Source organism: Homo sapiens, chromosome 19 (genome assembly GCF_000001405.40).
Source record: "Homo sapiens chromosome 19, GRCh38.p14 Primary Assembly".
Taxonomy (NCBI): Eukaryota; Metazoa; Chordata; class Mammalia; order Primates; family Hominidae; genus Homo; species Homo sapiens.
Window position 1 is genome coordinate 46,516,160 of NC_000019.10, and position 26,133 is coordinate 46,542,292.

General features: G+C 50.3%; 1 pseudogene across 2 annotated transcripts in view, besides 2 other annotated features; it reads right to left on the reverse strand.

Moving 5' to 3' along the window:
* Positions 1-2,519: 2,519 nt before the first annotated feature.
* The window catches only part of PPP5D1P (PPP5 tetratricopeptide repeat domain containing 1, pseudogene), an 82,238-nt pseudogene continuing 58,624 nt past the window's right edge, over positions 2,520-26,133 (reverse strand). Inside the window, exons 2-4 of one of the 2 annotated variants that reach the window (NR_172902.1) lie at positions 10,766-10,913; positions 9,504-9,625; positions 2,520-3,813 (exon numbers count right to left, since the gene is read on the reverse strand). The product of NR_172902.1 is annotated as a PPP5 tetratricopeptide repeat domain containing 1, pseudogene, transcript variant 1 (transcript). Of the gene's footprint in view, positions 3,814-9,309; positions 9,626-10,765; positions 10,914-26,133 lie in introns of those variants that run through there. The other variant, NR_172903.1, reaches the window with a different exon arrangement.
* Positions 5,931-6,110: a silencer, noted in NCBI's record as "fragment chr19:47025347-47025526 (GRCh37/hg19 assembly coordinates)". NCBI's record gives its function as "represses an EF-1alpha promoter that drives an FKBP-Casp9 reporter gene in an ReSE screen in phorbol 12-myristate 13-acetate-treated (for megakaryocytic differentiation) K562 erythroleukemia cells {active_cell/tissue: K562(+PMA)}" and the evidence as "EXISTENCE:reporter gene assay evidence [ECO:0000049][PMID:32094911]".
* Positions 14,690-14,799: a silencer, noted in NCBI's record as "silent region_10813". NCBI's record gives its function as "represses an Ori minimal core promoter by ATAC-STARR-seq in GM12878 lymphoblastoid cells {active_cell/tissue: GM12878}" and the evidence as "EXISTENCE:reporter gene assay evidence [ECO:0000049][PMID:35858748]".

Consider the following 26,133-nt stretch of genomic DNA (forward strand, 5'->3'; position numbering starts at 1 on the left):
TTAAGTGCTTCACACACCTGATCTCTAAATCAACTGCTAGATGAGACCCAGCCAAGGTAGAGGAGGAGGAAAGCAAGGATCAGGGAGGGTGTTTAATTTTCCCAAGTCGCACAGCATCCAAACTGCAGATAAACTTCCAGCTCAAGCCTCTGTGACTTCACAGCTCTTTGTCCTGTTTGTGGCAAAGTTTCTCAAAAGAGAGAGTGGTGACTGGGTGTTAGACCCCTTGATGAGGATGGAGGGGGGCAGCTCATGCAAAGGGGGCCTCTAGCCAGGCAGCCCTCCCCACTGCCACTGCCCGGGGAGCCTGCACACTTTAAGGCAGATTCTTCATAGCCTTAGGGGCTAACCTCTGAAAGTGTCACAGCAGCCCAGGGATGCGGGTTCTATTATTTTATCCCTGTGATACAGATTAGGAAACTGAAGCTCAGGAAAATTGAGGGACCTGTCCTGGGTCGCGAGACATGGAGGTGGCAGAACTGAGATTTACCCTGCAAGGGGCCTTGCCAGGGCAGGACACAGAGACTTCAAATGCTAGGAGGAGGAAATGGAACTCCTTCCCCAGAAGAGGGAAAAGTAACTACAGGGTGAGGGTCTGGGAGAGGAGAACAAGGACCTATTTTCTGATGAGGAAAGGGCAGGCTTTTGTAGGTCTGTATCCCAGGTTTAGGGGAGCCCAGGGAACCTCAAGGTCTTGGAAATTCTTATTTTAAAAAGACCCTGAGGTCAGGCGCCAGTGGCTCGCGCCTGTAATCCCAGCACTTTGGGAGGCCAAGGCAGGTGGACTGCCTAAGATCAGGAGTTTGAGACCAGCCTGGCCAACACGGCAAAACCCTATCCCTACTAAAAATACAAAAATTAGCTGGGCATGGTGGTGCACACCTGTAGTTCCAACTACTTGGGAGGCTGAGGCAGGAGAATCGCTTGAACCCGGGAGGTGGAAGTTGCAGTGAGCTGAGATCGTGCCACTGCACTCCAGCCTGGGGTGCAAGACACAGCAAGACTCTGTCTCAAAAAAAAACAAAAACAAAAACAAAACAAAAAACAAAACTGAAGGGTGCAGACTGAGGAAGAGGGAAGTAACAGTCAAATTGTGCATTTATTAGAAAAAACAATCTAGGTCCCTTTGGGGAGGCTGGAAAAAATGCCCAGGTAATAGTAAGTGAAGAAAAAAAAAACTGGTAGAAATATGTACATAGAATGAGTCCATTTTGGTTAAATAAATAAATTCATAAAGCTAACATTTATTGCCTCCTAAGACAGGCCAGGGATTGTCTGAATATTTTACAAGGGCTTTTGTCACTAATCCCATAACTCTGAACGAGTCCCATTTTACAGGCACAGAGGTTGCACAGAGCCCAGGAATGGCAAAGTGAGGTGGCAAACCAAGGTCTTCTGAGCCCAGAGCCCAGGCTCTCAACCCCTGTGCCCTGTGCAGATCACCCTGAACTTGCTCAATGTACCAGCCGTCATTTCTTCATAGCAGCCCCAAATAAATACCTAACTGTTCAATTCCTCATCAGGTGAGGTCTAAACAACCCAAGTATTTATGTCCTAAGAACTTAGTAGCCATGGCCGGGTGCAGTGGCTTGGCCTGTAATCCCAGCTCTTTGGGAGGAAAGGCAGGCGGATCACTTCAGGTCAGGAGTTTGAGACCAGCCTGGCCAACATGGTGAAACCTGGGTGTGATGGCGGGCGCCTGTAATCCCAGCTACTCAGGAGGCTGAGGCAGGAGAATTGTTTGAACCTGGGAGGCAGAGGTTGCAGTGAGCCAAGACTGCACCACTGCACTCTAGCCTGGGTGACAGAGCAAGACTCCATCTCAAAAAAAATAATAATAATACACTTTTTTCAATTTATGTGATGAAAATATTTGATATGATGAGGAGACAGTTTTCAAAAACACTTTTGGTAGCACCAAAACAAAGTTTGAAGTCCTCTATCCTGGGGCCTTGCGGCTTCTTTTCTTTCTTTTTTTTTTTTGAGATGAAGTCTCACCCTGTTGCCCAGGCTGGAGTGCAATGCTACAATCTCGGCTCACTGCAAACTCTGCCTCCCGGGTTCAAGCAATTCTCCTGCCCTAGCCTCCCTAGTAGCTGGGATTACAGGAGCATGCCACCAAGCCCAGCTAATTTTTTGTGTGTCTTTAGTAGAGATGGGGTTTCATCATGTTGGCCAGGCTGGTCTTGAACTCCTGACCTCGTGATCTGCCCGCCTCGGCCTCCCAAAGTGCTGGGATTACAGGCGTGAACCACTGTGCCCGGCCGGGCCTTGCATTTTCTATAAATGTTCTTACTTAGTTTAAAGCGAGACGGGAGCGCAGGACCCAGTCCTGGGAGGAAATGAAGTCTCAGAGGGAACTGGCAGGCAAAGCTTATAAAGACCACAGTGATTATGCCAAGGTCAAGGAAAGGGTTGGGGAGGGCGGGGCAGGCTCCACCTTTTGAGCAGGGCAGCGGGGAACTCCCCCAGCCATCTCTGCGCCCCACAGGGATACTCACACATTAACACGCGTGTGTACAATGAGACTGTCTGCCATACAAATGGCATCGTATTCTACGCGCTGAGGACTGCTGTAACAAACTATCACAGAATGGGTGGCTTCAATGACAGAAATTAACTTTTTCACAATTCTGGAGGCCAGAAGTCCAAAATCAAGGTGTTGGATAGGTTGGTGTCTCCTGAGGCCTCTCTCCTTGGCTGTGCAGACGGCCGTCTTCTCCCTGTATCCTCACATGGTCTTCCCTCTGCATGGGGCTGTGTCCTGGTCCCCTTTTCTCATAAAGACACCAGTCAGGTTGGATTAAGGGCCCACACATGGGACCTCATTTTACTTTTTTTTTGTTTGTTTTTGAACCAAAGTTTCGCTCTTGTTGCCCAGGCTGGAGTGCAATGGCATGATCTCGGCTCACTGCAACCTCCTCCTCCCTAGTTCAAACAGTTCTCCTGCCTCAGCCTCCCAAGGAGCTGGGATCACAGGCATATGCCGCCACGCCAGGCAAATTTTGTATTTTTAGTAGAGATAGGGTTTCACCATGTTGGGCAGGCTGGTCTCGAACTCCTGACCTCAGGTATCTGCCCGCCTCAGCTTCCCAAAGTGCTGGGATTACAGCTGTGAGCCACCAAAGCACCCGGCCTCATTTTACCTTAATTACCTCTTTAAAGACCCCCATCTCCAAATACAGTCACATTCAGAGGTGCTGGGAGTTAAGACTTCAACATATGAATTTGGGGATGGCGATAGCATAGTATATGGTAACTCTATGTTAAACTTCCAGAGGAACTGTGGCCACAGGTAACTCTTTAACAGAAACTTGCCTGTGTTTTCTTTGTACTCATTCTGCCTTCTGGAGAATTCCTAGGAACCCGGACAAAGGTAGTTGGGCACAGTGGCACATGACTGTAGTCAAACCTACTCAAGAGGCTGAGATGAAGAATGCCTTGAGCCCTGTAGTTTGAGTCCAGCCTGGGCTACACAGCAAGACCCCCATCTCTAAAAAAACAAAGACAAAGCTAACCTACAAATTGTTCTCAAATGTAAAGACACGGAGGCTGGGCATGGTGGCTCACGCCTGTAATCCCCAGGCCAAGGTGGGAGGATTGCTTGAGGCCAAGAGTTTGAAATCAGCCTGCGCAACATAGGGAGACCCATCTCTATAAAAATAAAAAAATTAGCCAGGTGTGGTGGTGCATGCCTTCGGTCACAGCTACTTGGGATGCTGAGGTGGGAGGATCACGTGGGCCCAGGAGGTTGAGGCTGCAGTGAGCTGTGATCGTACCACTGCACTTCAGCCTGGGTGATAGAGCAAGACCCTGTCTCAAAAAAAAAAAAAAAAAAAAAAAAAAAAAAAAAGACATGATAGAAATATTTAACAATTACTTGACTTGATTTACTATGAAATATTTAATGATGTATTAGTTAACTGTGATTTTGCCAGTTTCTTCTGTATTTTGAAACTGATACTTTTTTTCTGGTTCAAAAATTTTTGGAAGGTGCTTAAGAAATAACTGTTCCTCCCCACTGGGCCTGTGGAGACCTGTAGACAAAGTACTAAAGTAACTCAGCACAAATGTGCAAAGTCTGTAAATTTGGGTCTTTGATTTTCATAGCTATGAAGAGCTCAGCATGACTCTTGGTGGTTAAGAGGCAAATTTTGCTATATTTCCTCTTCCTGCTGCAGCTGTACTATTAATAAAATCATTCTGAACAGCTTTCCTGAAATGTAAAAATAAGCCAAGATGTCTATTTTGTGGATTTTTTTTTATTATATGTATAAGCACAGGAAAAAACAAATCTGGTAGGACCTGCATCAAAAGGTTAGCAGGGTTCCTCTCTGGGCTGGGGGCTTAAGGGAGGGGTGTCTGCTTCAGCCATATATTGCTGTTCACAACCCGCTAGAGTTTAGGGGCTTCAAACAATGACTTACTAGCATTCAGAGGGTTGACTGCGTGGTTCTGCTGCTGGTCTCTCCCTCGGTCACTTGTGTGGCTAATGTCAGCTGGTAATAGGCTGATTCTCCCCCACACAGCCTCTCTGCATTCACCTGGGCTTTCACTATTTTGTAACCCAGCTTTAGCTTCCTTGCAAGATGGCAGCTGGCATGCACGTGAGTAAGAGTGGGAGTCTCCTGGACTCTTAAGGCCTAGGCTTGAAATTGACGCATCACTCTGCTACATTCTATTGGTCAAAACAAGTCACGAGGCCTGCCCAGAATGGAGGGGAGGGGAAGTAGACCCCCCTGGTGATGGGAGGAGTGATGCGTGTGTACAGGGAAGGGAGGAATTGTTAGTAGCCATCTTTGAAGGCTGCTGACCTCCGTGTCTTTCTTTCTGTGTTTAATAGTATGCCTAGAATAATAATACCACCTAGAATATTATATAATAATGCCTAGAATATTATAGAAAAATAATATCAGACGTATTATTTTTATGATGATAGATATTTTTTTAAATAATGCAATAAATTGTGGGAAACTTGTTGGTTGGACCAAGAATCTACAGAAATAAGTGAAACCTGGCTGGACGCGGTGACTCATGTCTGTAATCCCAGCACTTTGAGAGGCTGAGGTGGGCAGATCACTTGAGATCAGGGGTTCAGGACCAGCCTTGGCCAACATGGTGAAAACCGTCTCTACTAAAAATACAAAAATTAGCCAGGCATGGTGGCAGGCAATTGTAATTCCAGCTACTTGGGACGCAGAGGTGGAAGAATCGCTTAAACCCGGGAGGCGGAGGTTGCAGTGAGCCGAGATCGCGCCAGCCACTGCACTCCAGCCTGGACGATGGAGCGAGACTCTGTCCCTGTCCCGCCCCCTCCAAAAAAAAGACACAGCAAAAGAAAAGACACAGAGAAGAAGAGAAGGCCAGAGACTGGAGCCAAGAGACATCAAGAGCCCCCAGAAGCTGGAGGAGGCAAGAAAGGATTCTCCCATAGAACCTTCAGAGCCAACAAGGCCCTGCTGGCATCTTTGTTTTGAACATCTGGCCTCCGGAACTGTGAGAAAATAAGCGTCTGTTATTTTTAGCCACCAAGTTTGTGAGAATTTATGACAGCAGCTCTAGAAAATGAACACAGACATAGACAGAGAGAGGGAGACTGATCTGAATGTAGATGGAGATGTGGATATAGTTGCAGATAGAGGATAAGCTACCAATAAGGATATAGCAGCCCCTATGGTGTAGGTATAGATTAGGATAGAGCTGTGGGCGTAGACATGGATATAGACATAAACATCAATGTAGACATAGATATTACTGTGGATATAGACATAGAAGGAGATAAAATAGACCTTGAAGGGCCGGGCACGGTGGCTCACGCCTGTAATCCCAGCACTTTGGGAGGCTGAGGTGGGCGGATCACCTGAAGTTAGGAGTTCGAGACCAGCCTGGCCAACATGGTGAAACCCCATCTCTACTAAAAACACAAAAATTAGCCAGACGTGGTGGCCCACGCCTGTAGTCCCAGCTACTCGGGAGGCTGAGGCAAGAGAATCACTTGAACCCGGGAGACGGGGGTTGCAGTGAGCCAAGATCGCACCACTGCACTCCAGCCTAGGCAACAGAGCAAGACTCCATCTCAAAAACAACAAACAAACCGAAAAAACAGACCTTGAGGAAAGCTTGAGGAAGGAATGGGGTCACCTGGGCTAACTATGGGCCATTGCCAACAGGAGGTCACAGCAGATGTCATGGAGACAGCCTCCTACAAACGCTCCACAGCTAAGCTCTTCAGGTTTTCTGGAAAATCCCAAGTATCAGAAATTGCTTTCTTGGTTGGGCACAGTGGCTAATGCCTGTAATCCCAACACCTTGGGAGGCCAAGACAGGAAGATTGCTTGAGGCCAGGAGTTCAAGACCAGCCTGGGCAACATAGCAAGACCTGTCTCTTAAAAAAAAAAAAAAAAAAAAAAGCTTTCTTTCACTCCTCCAGTCATCCTGCTCTTTTCTAGTTTCTGGATAATCAATTTGACCCCCAAAATGTGAAAACACAATTCATTGTTTTCAGTCAAAAGTTGTATTTTTCTTTTCTTTTTGAGACAGAGTCTTGCTCTGTTGCCCAGACTGGAGTGCAATGGCGTGATTATGGCTCACTGTAGCCTTGACCTCCTGGCCTGTAGTGATCCTCCCGTGTTAGTCTGCCAAGGAGCTGGGATTACAGGTGTGAGCCAGGGCACCCAGACTTCAGTATGAAGTTTTCTCTCCCTTCTCTTACCTTTCTCATATAAATCCTGTTTTGCTTTTGAACGTTGACAACAGTCCTATGACCATCTCCCTCCCCTTTGCATGCCAGTGTCCAAAACAAAATCAGATCCAATGAATAAATATTTAAAAGTTTGTTGTCATTAAAAAAAAGTGGGGACAGGGCACAATCCAGGAGACCTCAACCCAGGTAGTAAGAAGCTCAGAGGCATGTTGTTACAGGATGGCTGAGAAAGCAAAAATCAGGAAGTGGTTTAACCTTTACAGTGACTGTCTATACAGTGGAGGTTTCCAGATTGCACGGGACTGGTTAAAAGCAATCCTCTTATATCATTTGGGGAAGGCAACTTAAGTTTCGTTTATGATTATCAGAGGCATTTGTAAGAAATAACCTAAGCTGGCTGGGTGCGGTGGCTCACCCCTGTAATCCCAGCACTTTGGGAGACTGAGGCAGACAGATCACTTGAGGTCAGGAGTTTGAGACCAGCCTGAGCAACATGGTGAAACCCCGTCTCTACTAAAAAAAAAAAAATACAAAATACAAAAATTAGCAGGGCGTGGTGGTGCGTGCCTGTAATCCCAGCTACTTGGCAGGCTGAAGCACAAGAATTGCTTGAACCCCGGAGATGGAGGCTGCAGTGAGCAGAGATCATGCCACTATACTCCAGCCTGGGTCACAGAGCAAGATTCCATGAAAGAAAGAAAGAAAGAAAGAAAGAGAGAAAGGAAAGGAGAAAGGAAAGAAAGGGAGAGAGATAGCCGGGCGTGGTGGCTCACGCCTGTAATCCCAGCACTTTGGGAGGCCAAGGTGGGCGGATCACGAGGTCAGGAGATTGAGACCATCCTGGCTAACATGGTGAAACCCCGTCTCTATTAAATATACAAAAAATTAGGTGGCGGGCGCCTGTAGTTCCAGCTACTCGGGAGGCTGAAGCAGGAGAATGGCGTGAACCCAGAAGGCGGAACTTGCAGTGAGCCGAGATCGCACCACTGAACTCCAGCCTGGGCGACAGAGCCAGACTCCATCTCAGAAAAAAAAAAAAAAAACAAGGGAGAGAGATTGAGAGAGAGATCGAGATCTAAGTTGAGTTTCGCTTACATTCAAAAGTCAGAGTACCTTAGGTTTTGCTTATGTGGCCTGATTTTGTCTTCTTGGGGAATTCTCAGTCCGGATCCACCCCCCCTAGTTTTGTGTGTGTGTGTGTGAAACAGGGTCTCGCTCGGTTGCCCAGGCTGGAGTGAATGGCACGATCGCAGCTCACTGTAGCCTTAACCTCCTGTGCTCAGGTGATCCTGTTGCCTCAGCCTCGCAAGTAGCTGGGACCACAGGCATGCACCACTTTGTGCAGCTAATTTTTTTTTTTTTACTTTTATAGAGATGGAGTCTTGCCATGTTGCCCAGGCTGGTCTCAAACTCCTGGGCTCAAGGATCCTCCCAATTTGGCCTCCCAAAGTGTTGAGATTACAGGTGTGAGCCACTGCGCCTGGCTCCCCCCATTTTATTTTAACAACTTTCCCCTTTTGACATAGCAAGCTGAGGGGGTAATGAAATCGTATAGCATTACTTTCTGGGAGTGCTATTGGCTGGGACAGATGGGTGTATAGTCATTTTTGATAGCTGCATAGTCATCTTAGACATATGTGGTAGAGTCCTTAGGTTCTCCAAGTTGTCTAATGCAGATGGGTGTCATTAGTTGCATCAGTGGCTGTTGAGAGGCATTGGAAACCCTTAAGAGGATGCAACTCCCAGGGAGGTTAATATCATGACTAGGAGGAGAATAATATAGCCAAGGGTTGGAAAATTCACCAGAGGAGAGATTCCCAGGAGCCAAGATGTAACCAACTAAATAAATAAATGGAAAAAGTATCACCTATCTGATAAGATTTACATCTGTTCTTTAAAATCCTCTGAAGTGTGGGCAAAAATTCTTGATATATTAACACAGAAATGACAGCTTCATTCATTATACCTCCTTTTTGGGCAGTTAGAGTAGCTCAGACTCATACATTTTGTGAAATTATTGAAGCAAGGCTAGAAACCTCGGTTTGTAAGCCTTGGAGGAAATTAACAGTGTCATTGAAGTTTTTTTCTAAAGTTTTAGAGCATTTATAATAGCCCCTTCCTTCCTTCCTTCTTTTTCTTTTTCTGTTTCTGTTTTTGTTTTTTGATATGGAGTCTTGCTCTCTTGCCCAGGCTGGAGTGCAGGAGTGCAGTGGCATGATCTTGGACCACTGCAACCTCCCCTTCCTGGGTTCAAGCAATTCTCCTGCCTCAGCCTCCCAAGTACCTAGGACTACAGGTGTGCACCACCACACCCAGCTAATTTTAGTATTTTTAGTAGAGACGAAGTTTCACCATGTTGGCCAGGCTGGCATTGAACTCCTTACCTCAAGTGATCCACCCGCCTCGGCCTCCCAAAGTGCTGGGATTACAGGTGTCAGCCACTGTGCCTGGCCCATAATAGCCTTTTCTAAATCAGAGACACCAATACAAGGAATTGGAGCTCTGTCCACCAAAGGAAGTCAGTGTCATGTGTAGTGAGAGGGTTGGTGCTTCTTGGATTTCTCTAACGGTGCTATCTTCTGAACAAGTGAGCCAAGGTTGGTGGCTTTATTTGTAGAGATAGTTTATTGTATCTGAATATTGGGAGGGATTACTGCCAATCCATAATGACCACGACTCCTGTTTGGTGTTGGCTGTTGTGGCTGCCCTTCTCCTGTCATTTTGCTCAGTGCCCGCGCCTGGCAGTGCTGTGATGCCATCCCAGGGTTCCCGGGTGCCCGGTACCTGACAGGTGCATTACCTGGTAGGCGCATTTCTGGTGCAGTTTCTTCTGGTCCTTGTACCACTGCATGAGCCCCTTCATGAAGGTGATTGTCACTTTGTCGTCCTCAAGCTTGGGTCCGCTGTACTCACCCTCGATGGCTGGCATGTGAACAGGGGAGACACGAGAGTCAGCGACCACGGCCACTGTAAGGGGGAAGGGGGTCTTGCTCCCAGGGATGAGGTGGACCTGGCTCTGGACACACAGATTGAGAGAGGGACAGAGCGAGTGAAGAGTCCCCTCTCTGGTCAGGTCTGGCCCAGAGGCCTCTTCCTGACCTCCTTCTCTTCCTTCACCCGCCCCCCTTTACCCTATTCAGTTTTATGGCACTTAGCACGATTCATTTTGTGACTTGTTCATCATCTTATCTGCCTCCTAGAATATCAGCTCCATGCGGACAGGAAGGGTTTTGTTCATAGCTGTACCCCCAGTGCCTAGGACAGTGCCTGGCACATAGGAGATGCTCAATAATCATCTGTGGGATGAATGGCTGGACCTTCTCAGCACCTAGAGGTGAACCAGACACAGCCTGTGGGGGCGGGGCTACTGCCGGCAGAGAGGGAGGGAGGAGAGGATGACAGAGTGGCCAAGAAGCCAGCATGGAGAAGGGCCCGGGCAGGGGTGATGCTGGTGGGTAGGGAAGGTGTATTAGTCCATTTTCACATTGCTGATAAAGACATACCCGAGACTGGGTAATTCATAAAGAATAAGAGGTTTAATGGACTCACAGTTCCATGTGGCTGAGGAGGTCTCACAATCATGGTGGAAGATGAAAGGCACGTCTCATGTGCCGACAGGCAGGAGAGAATGAGAACCAAGTGAAAGGGGAAACCCCTTATAAAACCATCAGATCTCGTGAGACTTACTCACTACCACGAGAACAGTATGGGGGAAACTGCCTCCACGATTCAATTATCTCCCACCAGGTCTCTCCCACAACATGTAGGAATTATGGGAGTTACAATTCAAGATGAGATTTGGGTGGGGATGAGATTTGGGTGGGGACACAGCCAAGCCATATCAGCGGGGTGTTGCAGCTCCTGACCTCGCCCATTGGGAATCATGAGACGGAGCTTTGGGCTGCGGATGGAGCGCCCTGGAACACAGGCAGAGGAGCGACAGACAGCAGCCTGGGGGCAGAACAAGGGGCTACCCTTGAGCCCACCCCCACCCCCAGGGAATGGAGAAGGCCCGTGTGGAATGTTCTGGGCTGGAGCGTGGAGCATCCAGGCCTGACTCACTCATGCTCTCGATGTCCAGCGAGTCCACCACGGAGCGCTTGTGCTCGTCGCCTGCGATGGCCCGCTCAAAGGCCTTCTGCTTCACGATCTTGTTGCACTCCTGGTATTTCATTTTGGCATCCTTGTCGTGGGGCTTCACCTTGACCACCTGGGTGGGAGGGAAGGGGCGTGCACACTGAGGCCGAGGTGGGGGCACAGCGGCTGTCCCCAGGCTGCCCAGCCCTGGATTCCATGAACGCGGAAGTCAGGCTGCCCGGGCACCAGTGCTGATGGTGCAACCCTGGACATGTTTAACCTCCAAGTCTTGGTTTCTGCACCCCAAAACTGTCCATAGCTAAGCTGCTCACACCGGCACACTTCATCAACCTTAGCTATAACTACATTAAAATCAAACACCTTGCCCGTCTGAGGACCATGGGCTCAGCTCCTGGTCCCCCGTGGGAACCAGTGCAGGCAGCGACAACTCCAGGCTTCCCAGCCTTGGACTCCAGGACTTACGCCAGCTGCCCCTCAAATCCTCAGGCCTTTGGCTTCGGACTGAGAATTACACCGTTGGCTTCCCCAGTTCTGAGGCCTTCGGACTTGTTCTGAGCCACACTCCCTGCATCCCAGGGTCTCCAGCCTGCACACAGCCTCAGGACTTCTCCGCCTCCATAATTGAATGAGCCAGTTGCCCAATAAACCCCTTCTCCTATCTCTGTCTACACATATCCTGTTGATTCTGTCTCTTTGGAGAACTCTGATTAATATGCTTCCTCTATGAAACAAACAGGGCTGTTCCTAGCCATCTCCCAGCCCCTAGGGAGATGAAACGCCATGGCATACCTGGCCACCGCAGGGCTCAATTAAGATGAGCTGTAATTATTATTATTATTATTACTTTGAGATGGAGTCTCACTCTGTCACTCAGGCTGGAGTGTAGTGGCGCAATCTTAGCTCACTGCAACCTCCATATTCTGGGTTCAAGCAATCCTCCTTCCTCAGCCTCCTGAGTGGCTGGGATTACAGGCGCCTGACACCACCCCCAGCTAATTTTTGTATTTTTAGTAGAGATGGAGGTTTCACCATGTTGGCCAGGCTGATCTGGAACTCCTGACCTCCTGCCCACCTCAGCCTCCCAAAGTGCTGGGATTATAGGCATGCGCCACCGCACCTGGCCAAGGTGAGTTGTCATTATTCTTCTTATTGTTATTCCCACAGCCCTGGAGCCTGGGGCTCTGTGCCTTCTACTGCCTGCCAGACAGCGAGGGGCCTGGGCCAGCAGGGCCGTTCTCCTCCGTGCCAGCTCAGTGCCAGGCCCCTCTGGCTGCCTGCCCAGCCCCAGGACTCCTGAGAGCCTGGATCCGGGGTCCTGGGGGGTAAGGGGCCCCTCCCAAAGGCTGCTGTTGCCCGGAACTCTGACGCAGCCTCAGCAGCAACCCCCAAGCAGGCTGCTCCCATCCCAGGGAAGTCCACCTTCCACCCCATCACCCAGCTGAGACTGAGCCTCATCCTGGACTCCTCCCGACCCCTCAGCCCCCACAGCCCGGCAGTCACTTCACTTCTTCTGCCAAGTCGGCCTCCTGAACATCTCTCAGATCCAGCCATTCCCTTCTCACCCTCCAGCCCCACCCAGCCCTGACCTGGCCTCTCCTGCCCACGTTCCTGGCTCAGCCTCCACCTGGCCTCACAGCCTCTTGTCCTGCCCTTCCAGAGGGGTGTTCCTAAGGCACAAACCTGACCCTGTCCTTTCCCTACTCGGAACCTCCCAGGGCTCCCAGAGCCTCCCGCAGAAAGCCCTGGCTCTCCCCACGGCCCTGCGTGATCTGCTCCCTGCAGCTTCATCATAACCCCCACGCACACACACTGCAGCCCCACTCACCGCCTCCATGCTAGGCTCCGCTAACCTCTGGAACTTTGCCACCAGGTTCTTTCTGCCTGAAGGCCAAAACCATCAACCCCCTAGGGAGACCCCCAGGCATGCGTCCAGAGACCCAGCATCCCCCATCCCTCGTCCACTATGTCACCCCACTGTGAGAGCTGAAAGGTTGTTTCTGCCCATTCAGGGACAGAGCCTACCCCAGGAGGCCCACTAGATTCTCAGGCCCACCAGGGCCCATGAGTGGCAGGACCCACACTGGGGGACTGGGAGCTGTGACCCTCTAGGCTAACGGGGAACTATGGGAGCTCTGCCTGGGGACACAGGGCCCCAGGCCTGGGCCAGTTCAAGAGATGAGTGGCTGGCAGCTCCCAGCAGATCACCAGGCTGGGGACGAACCCTGAGGGTGAGAGAGACTCCTCTCCCAAACTAGGAGTGGGCTAGGGTCCTGGACTTTGCCCCAACATCCCCCTCCCACGCCCTGCACGCCTTCAGCCCACACCATTCCACGCTTTCAGCCCACGCCTTCTGCGGCCTCCCCGTCGGGTCCAGCCTCAGCCTCACCCGTCCCATTCATCCACATGACATCGCAAACTTGACCCTCCCCCTCCCTTATTCCAAAATTTTCTCTAGTTCCCCAGTGCCCCGGGAACAAGTCGGGTTCCTATGAAGCCCTGTATCCCGCAGTCCCACCTTCTCCCCAGTGTTAAGCTCTACTCAGGTGGGGTTCCTCTGCCTCCCCCTACCGGGCTGTAAACCCCCCGGGAAGGTAGGACCTGGGCTGTTTCAGTCCCCATCTAGGCAGGATCAGACCCTGGTGAATGCATGTGGAGGGAAGAAAGGGAAAGAAAGGGAGGAAGGGACAGAATAAGAAGGGGAGGGAGGGTGGTGCCCTTTAAAATCAAAACCTCTGGTTTCATCTTTCTTCCCTGAACTGGCTCCCCACGCCCACCAGAGGGCGCTCTGACCCAGCAAATTCCTCATACAGCAACAGCCCGTTCTACACACAAAAGGGAATTATGAAAATAAGGATTGACACCAATAATCGATACTTAAAGCCCTACTGTGACCAGTACCTATGCTAAATTATCCACGTGCCTAAATCAACACAGCAATTCTGAGAATATCTTATAAATGAGGAAAGTGAGGCTCAGAGAGGTCATTTAACTTTCCCAGTGTCACACAGCACATAAGCTGCAGAGAAGCTTCCAGCTCTGGCCTTGGTAACCCCACAACCTTCCGTTCCTTGGTCATAGCCTGACGTGACCAAACCACAATGCCCTCTGTGCCTGGCCCTGCCACCTCCTGCCCAACCCCCATCCCGAGGCTCAGCCACACCCTTCCACCCCCAGCTCCTTAGACATCCTGTTCCCCATTTAGTCACTGGAATCTTAGCCCATTGGCTGCCTCGAAAGCACTTCTTCCCTTTCCCTACCCCCACCTCCCACAAATGGTCACCTCCTCCCTTCAGCTCAATGTCACCTCCTCTGAGTAAGCCTGTCCTGATCCAGGGTTAGCTCCATCTCTTCCGACTCACCTCCCCTAAGAATCCAGGCTTTCCCTGCGCTCCAGGAGGCAGGGCTTCAGTCATCATCGTGTCCCCAGAGCCCTGCACAGGCACTACAGAAAGACTGAATGAATGAATGGATGAGTGAAGTCTACGGGGTTAAATAAATGAACACTCAATGAGTGACACCCTCTCCCTCTCCCTCAGCCAGAAATTGAGACATTCTCCAACAAACACCCACAGCCAGGAAGAGAAGATCCCGGACCCGCTAGCCAAGAGTGCACGCTTCAGGCTCCCAGGACCCCCAAAATTCATCCTGCTGAGGCTGTCGGGGGATGCTGCCAGGACTCTGTTGGAAGCCAAGGCCCTAGGGCTCCTGGAGAGGGTCCCATACTCCCTTCAGTCCCTCCCCAGGCCAGGTACAGTGAGTCTCACTAATGCCATCATGCCTTTAGGGCAGAGTCTCCTGCTTTCCAGCCCAGAGTCCACTTCCCTCTCCTGAATGATTCACCTCCATTTCTCTCCAGAGAATCCCCCTCCCCACTCTCCTTCCAGGTGACTCCTACAGGGCTCACCCAATCCCCTGCCCACCCAAGCCTGGCCAGTCAGTACGCTTCCTCCCTCCCTGGTCACTGTGATTGGGGCAGGGGCAAGCACATGATCCAGTTCATCCAATAGGAGTCAGCCCTGGGTCCAGGGCTAAATTAATGAATGAAGGAACCCTAGAACCAGCCATGCCTGAAGCCAAAGCCACGCTGGACTTTTTTTTTTTTTTTTTTTTTTTTTTTTTTTGAGACAGAGTCTCGCTCCATTGCCCAGGCTGGAGTGCTGTGGCGCGATCTCAGCTCACTGCAAGCTCCGCCTCCTGGGTTCACGCCATTCTCCTGACGCAGCCTCCCGAGTAGCTGGGACTACAGGCGCCTGCCACCAGGCCTGGCTAATTTTTTGTATTTTTTTTTTTTTTTTTAGTAGAGACGGGGTTTCACCGTGTTGGCCAGGATGGTCTCAATCTCCTGACCTCGTGATCCGCCTACTTCGGCCTCCCAAAGTCCTGGGATTACAGGCGTGAGCCACCGTGCCCAGCCAACCCTGGTCTTTATAGTAATATGAGCCAATGAATTCCTTTTTCACTAACCTGCTTAAACATGGCTAACTTGGGTTTCTGTACTTGGGACCTAAACAGTCCTGTGTATCCCACTCCTCAAAGCATTCTCTGAGGCCCCAAGGGAAGCAGGGTGGGGGGTGGCTTCTCAGTGTCCTGCCAGTCAGTACATCTGGCTCCAAATGCTGGACCAGGAGTTAGGGGGAGAGGGAAAGGGTCTTCTGGAGTTTTTAGACCTTGGCACCATCATTTGCCATATTCCTGAGTCTTTTCACCTTGTTCCTGGGGCTCTGGGTCTCTTGTCAACAGGGAACAAGATGACAGCTGCCTGGTAGAGACGGTATCACCATCCCTGGAGCAGATCTGTCTGGAAGGCATATTCTCAATCCCTGCATTTGCAGGACAGACCCAAGCTTGCACAGAGGTCAGACCAGCAGCTTAGTCATGGGGTGGGCTGAAGATACGAAACAGCTGATTTTTCTCTCCATTATGTTGTCCAGGTGGAAGAAGGGATGAATGAATGAACCCTGGGGCTCATCCTAGGGCCTGGGGCTTGGCTCACCATGACAGTGTTCCCAGACACGGGGTGCAGCCCAGGAAAGAACTGAGGCCACCCTGGGGGTGCTGGTGGGACAGTTAGCAAGACATGAAAGGGACCTCCTGGGTGTCATGACATAATAATTTGCAGGTGTCCCAGGGGTTCTTCCTGAAGCCCAAAGATTCCCACCTCCCTCCACCAGCAAGTCCTCACCTGAGCACCCCGCCTACTTCCCACTGCACAGCAGGCTCCAGCAGGGTCATGGTAGCAGTGGCTGCCCAGAGGTCGTGGTTTTTCATTTTTTGTTCTGTTGCCCAGGCTGGAGTGCAGTGGCGCGATCTCGGCTCACTGCAACCTCCGCCTCCCGGGTTCAAATGATTCTCCTGCCTCAGTCTCCCGAGTAGCTGGGATCACAGGTGCACACCACCATGTCTAGCTAACTTTTGTATTTTCTTTTCTTTTCTTTTTTTAATTTTTGTGTTTTCAGTAGAGACAGGGTTTCACCAGGTTGGCCACGCTGGTCTCAAACTCCTGACGTCAAGTGATCCGCCTGCCTCGGCCTCCCAAAGTGCTGGGATTATAGGCATGAGTCACCGCGCTCAGCCAGTTGTGATTTTTTACTTTATTTTATTTATTTATTTATTTATTTATTTATTTATTTATTTATTTATTTTTGAGACAGAATTTCGCTTTTGTCATCCAAGCTGGAGTGCAATGGCGCGATCTCGGCTCGTTGCAACCTCCACCTCCCAGGTTCAAGTGATGCTCCTGCCTCAGCCTCCTGCGTAGCTGGGATTACAGGCTCCCACCACCACGCCCAGCTGATTTTATATTTTTAGTAGAGATGGGGTTTCATCCTGTTGGTCAGACTGGTCTCGAACTCCTGAGCTTGGATCTGCCTGCCTTGGCCTCCCAAAGTGCTGGGATTACAGGCATGAGCCACCGTGCCCGGCTGGTGGTAGTTTTTTTACCTGGATAGAATCTGTGCCCCTGCATCAGGCCCAGCCCGCCGCACAACCTTCACTCAGTCTCTGTTTCACCTGGCCCACACTGGGTCCTAAACATCAAACTTACCCTAGATCTGGAGCCTGATGCCCCAGAGGGAGGCCCACCCAGTCCCACTGACTAAGCCTGGCTCTCTGTGTGAGGCCTGTCTCCCAGAGTCACGAAAGACCCCAGTAAACAAACAACATGCATAGTCTCGTTTTCAGTGGGCTTCTTATAACAAAAAATGCTCTGTCCCTGCAACAGCCTGAAAACGGTTGTCATGGAAACAGCAGTAGCCAATGGAGGAGGGAGAGACAGGCCCCTCCCAGAGCCCAGGCCTCCTGCGGTGGGTGATGGGGCACAGAAGAACCATCAGGATTAAGGGGCAACGGGGAGGGGGGTGTCCCCATGTGGCTGGAGCGGGAGGAGTTTCCTCATCTGGTAGCTCTGAGAGGGAGCCGCTGCTCTCAAAGGGACCCATGAGCATCCCTGGAGAACAGATCCATAGTCTCCTGCGGATCCTCAGACAGCTCTGGGGAGGGGTCCTGGGGAAAGGTCACTGTGAACAGCTGGCCAGCAGGCATCCAGGACGCCCGAGCCCTCATCCCCACTCCAGCATTGCCACATTCACTGAAACTGGGACTCTAAGCCCTGCGGGTGGCTTGCCAGGGTGTCATTGACACCGTGCACTGCAGTCCATCCCTATCTCAGGCTCCCTCCTGCCCCAAGATCAGTGCCCAGTGGGCGGCACCATGGCCATGAGCCTTTTGCAGGACTAGTGCCAGGGGCCTGGACATGGACGCGCACAGGGCCCTGCTGGTCACCGGGATCCTGGAGGGCCTGGAGCAGGTGGATGTTGAAGCCGTCCTGCAGTCGACCCTCCTGCCCCTGGGCACGTTCGGGCTGCAACACATGAAGGGCTTGATGGATAAGAAGGCCCAGGCCGCCCTGGTGGAGTTTGTGGAGGACGTCAATCACGCTGCCATCCCCACAGAGGTCCTGGGCAAGGATGGGATCTGGAGGGTTCTGTGGAAGGACCATGCACAGGACACGAGGTTCCTGAGGCAGATGAGACGCCTGCTGCTGGATGATGGGCCCATGCAGGCCGTGGTGGCTGGGACCCCCGGGGAGGTGCCCACCCCTCCCGCTTCAAAGACCCAGGCTGAGGGGTTGGGACAGTCATGGGGAAGGCCGGTGCCCCTCCTGGGGCTACAAGCGATAGTAACAAGAAGAGTAGGGGTCACAGAAATCGAGCCGGAAGCTAAAAGAGGGCCCGAGGGACATGTCCATTTCCCTTGGCAAAGAAGGAATCCAAGGAAGTTCCCCAGGAGAGCTTGGACATCAAGATCGAGGAGGCAGATGAGGGGGCTTGAGCAGAGATGACAATGACAGCAGGCTGTACACAGCGCTCCAGGCAGCAGCCAGGGAGCAAGTTCACAAGAAGTGGACCCTCTGAAGCCACAAAGACGAGGCAGGTGGTCCTATGGAGTTCTTGGCCCTGATGACCAGGACAGACAAAGCCAAACAGGAGATGATGGAAGAAAGCCCTCTGATTTGATGCACTTGACCATCAAAGAAGGCAGGAGCAGTGACTCCCATATGGTGGCTCTTCTGGCCACCAGAGACATACCTGAATGAGATGCTGAAGGGCTGTAAAGCTTCAGAAAGTGGGCGGGTGCAACCACCAGGTCACAGAGCGGGGCTGGAGGACCCTGAGTTCCTGACTACTGCGGCCTGTACCAGCCCTTCAGACACCAAAAGCTGCCAGGAGGTGTTGAAAATCGCTTCTGAGGCGGGGTGCGGTGGCTCATGCCTGTAATCTCAGCACTTTGGGAGGCCGAGGAAGGCAGATCACCTGAGGTCAGGAGTTTGAGACCAGCCTGGCCAACATGGTGAAACCCTGTTTCTACTAAAAATACAAAAATTAGCTGGGCGTGGTCGTGGGCTCCTGTAATCACAGCTACTCAGGAGGCCGAGGCAGGAGAATCACTGCAGCCTGGGAGGCAGAGTTTGCAGTGAACCGAGATCGCGCCACTGTACTCCAGCCTGTGCAACAGAGCAAGACTCCATCAAAAAAAAAAAAAAAAAAAAGAAGGAAGGAAGGAAGGAAAGAAAGAAAGGAAAGAAAGAAAGAAAGAAAGAAAGAAAGAAAGAAAGAAAGAAAGAAAGAAAAAATTGCTTCTGTGATCGACTCTTTGGGCTGGAGGAATGAGAAAGAAAAAACGATGCCCTCTCGCAGGTCTTGTCTGTCCTGTCCAAGGACACTGTGGTCCCGCGGAAAGCCTGAGATGACAGGAACCTTCTGGAGTGCATTTTCACCTTGGCGCAGCCAGAACCCCCTCCCTGGAGGAAGAAGGCTGAGCCTGGCCTCCTCAGGGTCTGGGGCGAGGATTAAAAGAGACAAAAAGGACAAAAAGAGCGAAGTGGCTCCTGGAGCTGGTGGTGCGCATCTGGCGGCTCAGGCATTGCTGCAGCCGGGAGCACCACCTGGGGAAGAGGGAAAGAGGAAAAGGGTGGGGAGGTGGGAAATTCAAATACACCAAAGGCAACCAAGGGACTACGCAGCTTTCCAGGCTGCCAGTGAGGACATAAAGTCGGGAAAGGCAGCTGCAGGGGCAGCAGTAGCAGAGTTCGAGGACACAGAGAGCAAGGCATGGGAGCCTGAGGGCAAGGCGTCCAGGAAGCCCCTGGCCAAGAGGGCGCACACGGCCCCCCGGGGCCTGGTCTTCAACTGCAGACACAAGTGATTCTCCCGCCTCAGCCTCCCAAAGTGCTGAGATGATAGACGCAAGCCACCGTGACCAGTCTGGTGTCCACTTCTTACTTGTCCCATTCCTTGGTCTGAACACTTAGGTTCCACCCATGGTTTCGTGTTTGGCTCATCTGGGCCTGCTCAGCATATGTGAACTTCAACCTGGGGGTCCATGGCAACTGAAAAAGCAACTCACCATTTTATTCCACAAAGTTGAACCGGATTAGGCTGGTTCTGAGGTTACATGAACAACAAGTTACCTGCTGTGACTGTAGTCCCAACTCACTCCCTACCTTGGAGGGCTGTCACTGTGTTTATCTCAGTAACAAAGACCCCTGAAGTCCCAGTGCCTTGCAACGATTAAGGTTTCTTTTCTTTTTTTTCTTTTCTTTCTTTTCTTTTCTTTCTTTTTTCTTTTTGAGATGGAGTCTCACTCTGTCACCCAGGCTGGAATGCAGTGGCGCCATCTTGGATCACTGCAACCTCTGCCTCCCGGATTCAAGCGATCCTCCTGCCTCAGCCTCCCAAGTAGCTGGGATTACAGGCCCACGCCACCACGCCCAGCTAATTTTTTTTTTTTTTAAGTAGAGATGAGGTTTCACCACGTTGGCCAAGCTGGTCTCAAATTCCCGACATCAAGTGATCTGCCCGCCTCAGCCTCCCAAAGTGTTGGGATTACAGGTGTGAGCCACCATGCCAAGCCTAAAGGTTTATTTTCACATACATGTTGGTAGTAGTGGCTGTGGGTCAGGCAGAAGGGAGACCCCCTGTTTGGATCTTTTCTGCAGGGGCTCACAGCATGGCCACTCATACAACACAGACCAATGCAAGTCGCAAGTTGCCTCTTTGGGGTAAGAATGCATCCCCTCCCGCAGGGGTACCCCAAGCCACATGGCGACAGTCAGGGACCTATATCCTCCTACAGGGAGGCAGCGAATGGAACAACAAAATAATCTAACACATCGCCCGCCCCCCCATCAGAGGCAACACCTCTTCCCATGTGGCTGATGAGATCTTGTCTCCTCCACCAGACTGTGACCACCGTGGGGACAGATTTTGTTCATTGTTGTGTCCCCAGTGCTTGGCATATTGTAAGAACTCAATGAATATGTGTTGAATCCATGAATAAATAAACAAGTAAGTCTTGCTTTTCTGTCTCATATCTGACTCTCCCCAACCCCTCTCCCCAACTCAGGCTTCCTAGACTCAAATCCTGAATCCACTGCTTACCACCTGTGTGACCTTGGATAGATACTTAACTTCTCTGGGTCTCAATTTGTTTATTTGCAAAGTGGGAAGGATACTATTTTGTGCTTTATAGGGTTGTTATTGTAACTTATCACACACACACACACACACACACACACACACACACACACACACCCTGTGCCTGGTATGTAGAGAGTCTTCTATACCAATTAGCTGTTGTGTTTGTTTGTTTGTTTGCAGAGGAGGGACAGGGTATCACTCTGTCGCTCAGGCTGGAGTATGGCAGTGCAATCTCAGCTCACTGAAACCTCTGCCTCCCAGGCTAATGTGATCCTCCCACCTCAGCCTCCCAAGCAGCTGAGACTACAGGCTCATGCCACCACGCCTGGCTAACTTTTTGTCTAGACATAGGTCTCACTACGTTACCCAGGCTGGTCCCCCAAACTCCTGGACTCAAGCAATCTGCCTGCCTCAGCCTCCCAAAGTGCGGGATTACAGGCGTGAGCCACGCAGTTATTGCTGCTGTTGTCACTGTGGGGAAGTGGCCAAGGGCACAGGTTTGGAGCCAGAGGGTCCTGGTCTGAGTCTCACTCTGCCACGTGTTATGTTTGGCCTCAACTCCCTGAGCCTTAACGTCCTCACCTGTAAAACTCAACCTCAGGACATTCTTGTGAATTTCAGGCGTGATTTTTTACGCAAAGCATTTAGCATGCCCCTGGTGCGATGTAAACACAAGCCATAGCTATGAGGATGTAGGAACACTGTGGGAATCCTGCGTGTGTTGATGACTGCGTGTGGAGCGCCCCTGCTGGACAATCACAGAACAGCACGACTGCCCTGACCGGAGACCTCTCTACCCCAGCATCCTCAACTGTAAAATTATAATAACAGTAATGCCAATATGAGATTGAGGATTCGTTGAGTTAATACATGTAAAGTTTCTCGAGTAGCATGATGGGTTAAAGATGAGTACAAATTCCTTATCCTTCTCCCCATCCAGAGGTGGAGTTTATAGAATGAGATGGAAGTAACATTGTTACTGATGTGGGATGTAGACTTCAAGAAGACTGGCAGCTTCTGCTTACTGACTCTTAGAACACTTGCTGTTGGGACACTGTCCCTGAGAACCCAGCCACCATGCTGCGGAAGCTCAAGCCACATGCAGAGGCTATGGGTAGTTGCTACAGTTGACAGCCCCAGTTGAAATCCCAGCCAATAGTCAACATCAACTGGCAGGCATGTGAGTGCCCCATCTTGGGTGTTCCAGCTCATCTTGGGTGTTCCAGCCCCCATGTGACTGCAGCCCAACCAACATTGCAGGAAGCAGGGAAACCGTCCTGTTGAGCCCTGTTAACCCACAGAATCGTAAGAGACAATAAAATAATTATTGGGTTTTTTTTTTTTTTAGATAAGGTCTCACTCTGTCACCAAGGCTGGAGTGCAGTGGTGCGACCATGGCTCACTGCAGCCTCGACCGCCTGGACTCAAGCGATCCTCCCACATCAATCTCCCAGGTAGCTAGGACTACAGGTGTGCATCACCACACCTGGATAATTTTTCTGTACTTTTTTGTAGAGACAGGGTTTCACCATGTTGCCCAAGCTGGTCTTGAACTCCTGGGCTCAAGTGATCCACCTGCCTCAGCCTCCCAAATTACTAAGATTACAGGCGTGAGCCACTGCACCTGGTCAATAATTATTGTTTAAACCACAACATTCTGGGGTAGTTTGTTATGCAGCAATAAAGAGCTGAAACAAATAATATCTAGAACATAGTAACAATAAGCTGCTATTATTATGTCATTCAATCTTCACAACAACTCTGTAAGATTGACATCAATAGTACCTGTATTAGTCTGTTTTCACACTGGTGATAAAGATATACCCAAGACTGGGCAATTTACAAAAGAAAGAGTTTTAATGGACTCACAGTTCCACGTGGCTGGAGAGGCCTTACAATGATGGTAGAAGGTAAAAGTCACGTCTCACATGATGGCAGACAAGAGAGTGAGAGCCAGGGAAAAGGGGTTTTCCCTTATAAAACCATTAGATCTCGTGAGACTTATTCACTACCATGAGAACAGCATGGGGGAAACCGCCCCCATGATTCCACTATCTCCCACTGGGTCCCTGCCACAACATGAGGGAATTATGGGAGCTACAATTCGAGCTGAGATTTGGGTGGGGACACCACCAGATCATATCAGTACCCAGTTCTACAGCTGTGGAAACTAAGACTGCACCCTTAACCACACTGTAGCATTTGATGGAAGTTGAAGGACCTAAAATGGGTTTCTTGTGTCAAAAGATTTAGCTGAGGGAATCAAATATATATAGATCTGTGATTTGGGCAGGAAACAGAAACCCAGAAGCCTTTTGGGAAGCACTTCCCAGGAGTATAAGATACATGCACAGCCGGGTGTGGTGGCTCACGCCTGTAATCCCAGCACTTTGGGAGGCTGAGGTGGGTGGATCATGAGGTCAGGAGATCGAGACCATCCTGGCGAACACCGTGAAACCCCGTCTCTACTAAAAAAAAAAAAATTATCCGGGCATGGTGGCGGGCACCTGTAGTCCCAGCTACTTGGGAGGCTGAAGCAGGAGAATGGCGTGAACCCGGGGGGCAGAGCTTTCAGTGAGGCGAGATCGCCACTGTACTCCAGCCTGGGCGACAGCGAGACTCCGTCTCAAAAAAAAAAAAAAAAAAAGATACATGCACTTCCCATCTGTGGAAAAGTTAACAGAAAATTGTGTGTATGCATGGGGATAAGTTACTCATCTACTGGTGGAAATTTTCTTTATTTATTATTTTATTTACTTATTATTATTATTTGAGAAAGCTGGAGTGCAGTGGCTTGATCTTGGCTCACTGCAACCTCTGCCTCCCAGATTCAAGCAATTCTCCTGTCTCAGCCTTCTGAGTAGCTGGGATTACAGGTGCACGCCACTACACCCGGATAATTTTTGTATTTTTTAGTAGAGACAGGGTTTTGTCATGTTGGCCAGGCTGGTCTCAAACTCCTGACCTCAGGTGATCCGCCTGCCTTGGCCTCCCAAAGTGATAGGATTACAGGCATGACCCACAGCGCCTGGCCAGAAAATTTTTTAAAACAAGTTTCAGATACTTAGATTCTGGCTTCGTTAAAACTATGGTTTAAGGCTGGGCACAGTCGGTCACCTCTATAACCCCAGCACTACTTTGGGTGGCCAAGGCGGGTGGATCACTTGAGGCCAGGAGTTTGAGAACAGCCTGGGAAACATGGTGAAACCCCATCTCTACAAATAAAAGAAAAAAAAATTAACACACAGGTACTCTTAGCTACTTGAGAGGCTGAGGTGGGAGGATCACCTGAGCCCAGGAGGTTGAGGCTGCAGTGAGCCGTGATCACGCCACTGCACTCCAGCCTGGGCAACAGAGTAAGACCCTGTCTCAAAAAACAAAACAAAGCAAAACAACAAAAACTATAGTTGAAGCTGTTGGCAGCTAGTTCCAAAGATATTGGTGGGTGTATTAGTTTGCTAGGGCACATATACTGGGTGGTTTAAACAACAGAAATCTATTTACTCACAATTTTGGAAGCTAGAATCTGAGATCACAGTGTTGGCAGGATTAGTTTCTTCTGCAGCCTCTCTCCTTGGCTTGCAGATGGCCGCCTTCTCCCTGTGTCTTCACGTGGTCTTCCCTCTGTACCATCTGTGTCTAAATTTCCTCTTCTCTCTCTTTTTTTTTTTTTTTTTTTGAGACAGAGTCTCACTCTGTCGCCCAGGCTGGAGTGCAGTGGTGCAATCTCGGCTCACTGCAGCCTCCACCTCCTGGGTTCAAGCGATTCTCCTGCCTCATCCTCCCAAGTAGCTGGGACTACAGTCGCCCACCACCACGCCTGGCTAATTTTTGTATTTTTAGTAGAGACGGGGTTTTGCCATGGTGGCCAGCCTGGTCTCGAACTCCTGGGCTCAGGTGATCCACCTGCCTCAGCCTCCCAAAGTGCTGGGATTACAGGCGTGAGCCACTGCGCCCGGCCTAAATTTCCTCTTCTTATGAGGACATCTGCCATGTTGGGTTGGTGCCCACTCTAAAGACCTCATTTTAACTTAATTGCCTCTCTAAACGCCCTTTCTCCAAGTATAGTTATATTCTGAAGTACTGGAGGTTAGGACTTCAACACAGGAATTTGGAGGGAACACAATTAAATTTGTCACAATGGGAAACTCGGGACTGGAGGGACTGTGGGCACAGGTGTTTCCCAGGCAGGCAAGGGAAGGTTCTAATTAGGTTACAAGATGGTAAGGTCCATATGAGCAGAAACCTATGTTCGAATTGTTCACTTCTATGTTCCTGAATTATACTGGCACTGAGGAGATGCTCAGTAAATGTAAACTGAATGAATGAAAAAATGAGGCCGGGCGCGGTGGCTCACGCCTGTAATCCCAGCACTTTGGGAGGCTGAGGCGGGCGGATCATCTGAGGTCAGGAGTTTGAGACCAGCCTGGCCAACATGGTGAAACCCCGTCTCCACTAAAAATATGAAATTTAGCCGGACGTGGTGGCAGGAGCCTGTAATCCCAGCTACTCGGGAGGCTGAGGCAGGAGAATCGCTTGACTCCGGGAGGCAGAGGTTGCAGGGAGCTGAGATCTCACCATTGCACTCCAGCCTGGGTGACAAGAGTGAGACTCAGTCTCCAAAAAACAAACAAACAAAAAAAAACAAATAAAAACAAAGAATGGACATTGGATCTATATATATCATGTTTATTTCCTGGGTGAATTGTAAGCAAAAAGCTTGCCTATAAGACAGAATGTTAAGCCCAGTGGTCTTGTGTGGATTCTTTCTGGAATGTAACTCTTCATCTTGAGACTGTGGTTCCTATAAAGTTTGTTTCAAGTGTTTATTATATTTAATTATTGCATTTTTTTGAGACAGGGTCTCACTCCATTGCCCAGGCTGGAGTGCAGTGGTGCAAACATAGCTCACTGCAGCCTTGGCCTCCTGGGCTTAAGTGGTCCTCCCATCTCAGATTCCCAGTGTTGGGATTACAGGCATGAGCCACCACGCTTAGCAAAGTCAGTGCTTTCAAACATAAAAAAAAAAAAGCCCGTTCTCTCTTGCAGCTGTATAGGAAGGGGTTCTATTCTGCATCATGAAATTGCTCTAAATAATTAGTTTTTTCACTTTAGGAGGCCGAGGAGGGCGGATCACTTGAAGTCAGGAGTTTGAGACCAGCCTGGCCAACATGGTGAAACTCCATCCCTACTAAAAATACAAAAAAATTAGCCGGGCGTGGTGGCAGGCACCTATCATCCCTGCTACTCGGGAGGCTGAGGCAGGAAAATCGCTTGAACCTGGGAGGCGAAGTTTGCATTGAACCGAGATCACGCCACTGCACTCCAGCCTGGGTGACAGAGCAAGACTCTGTC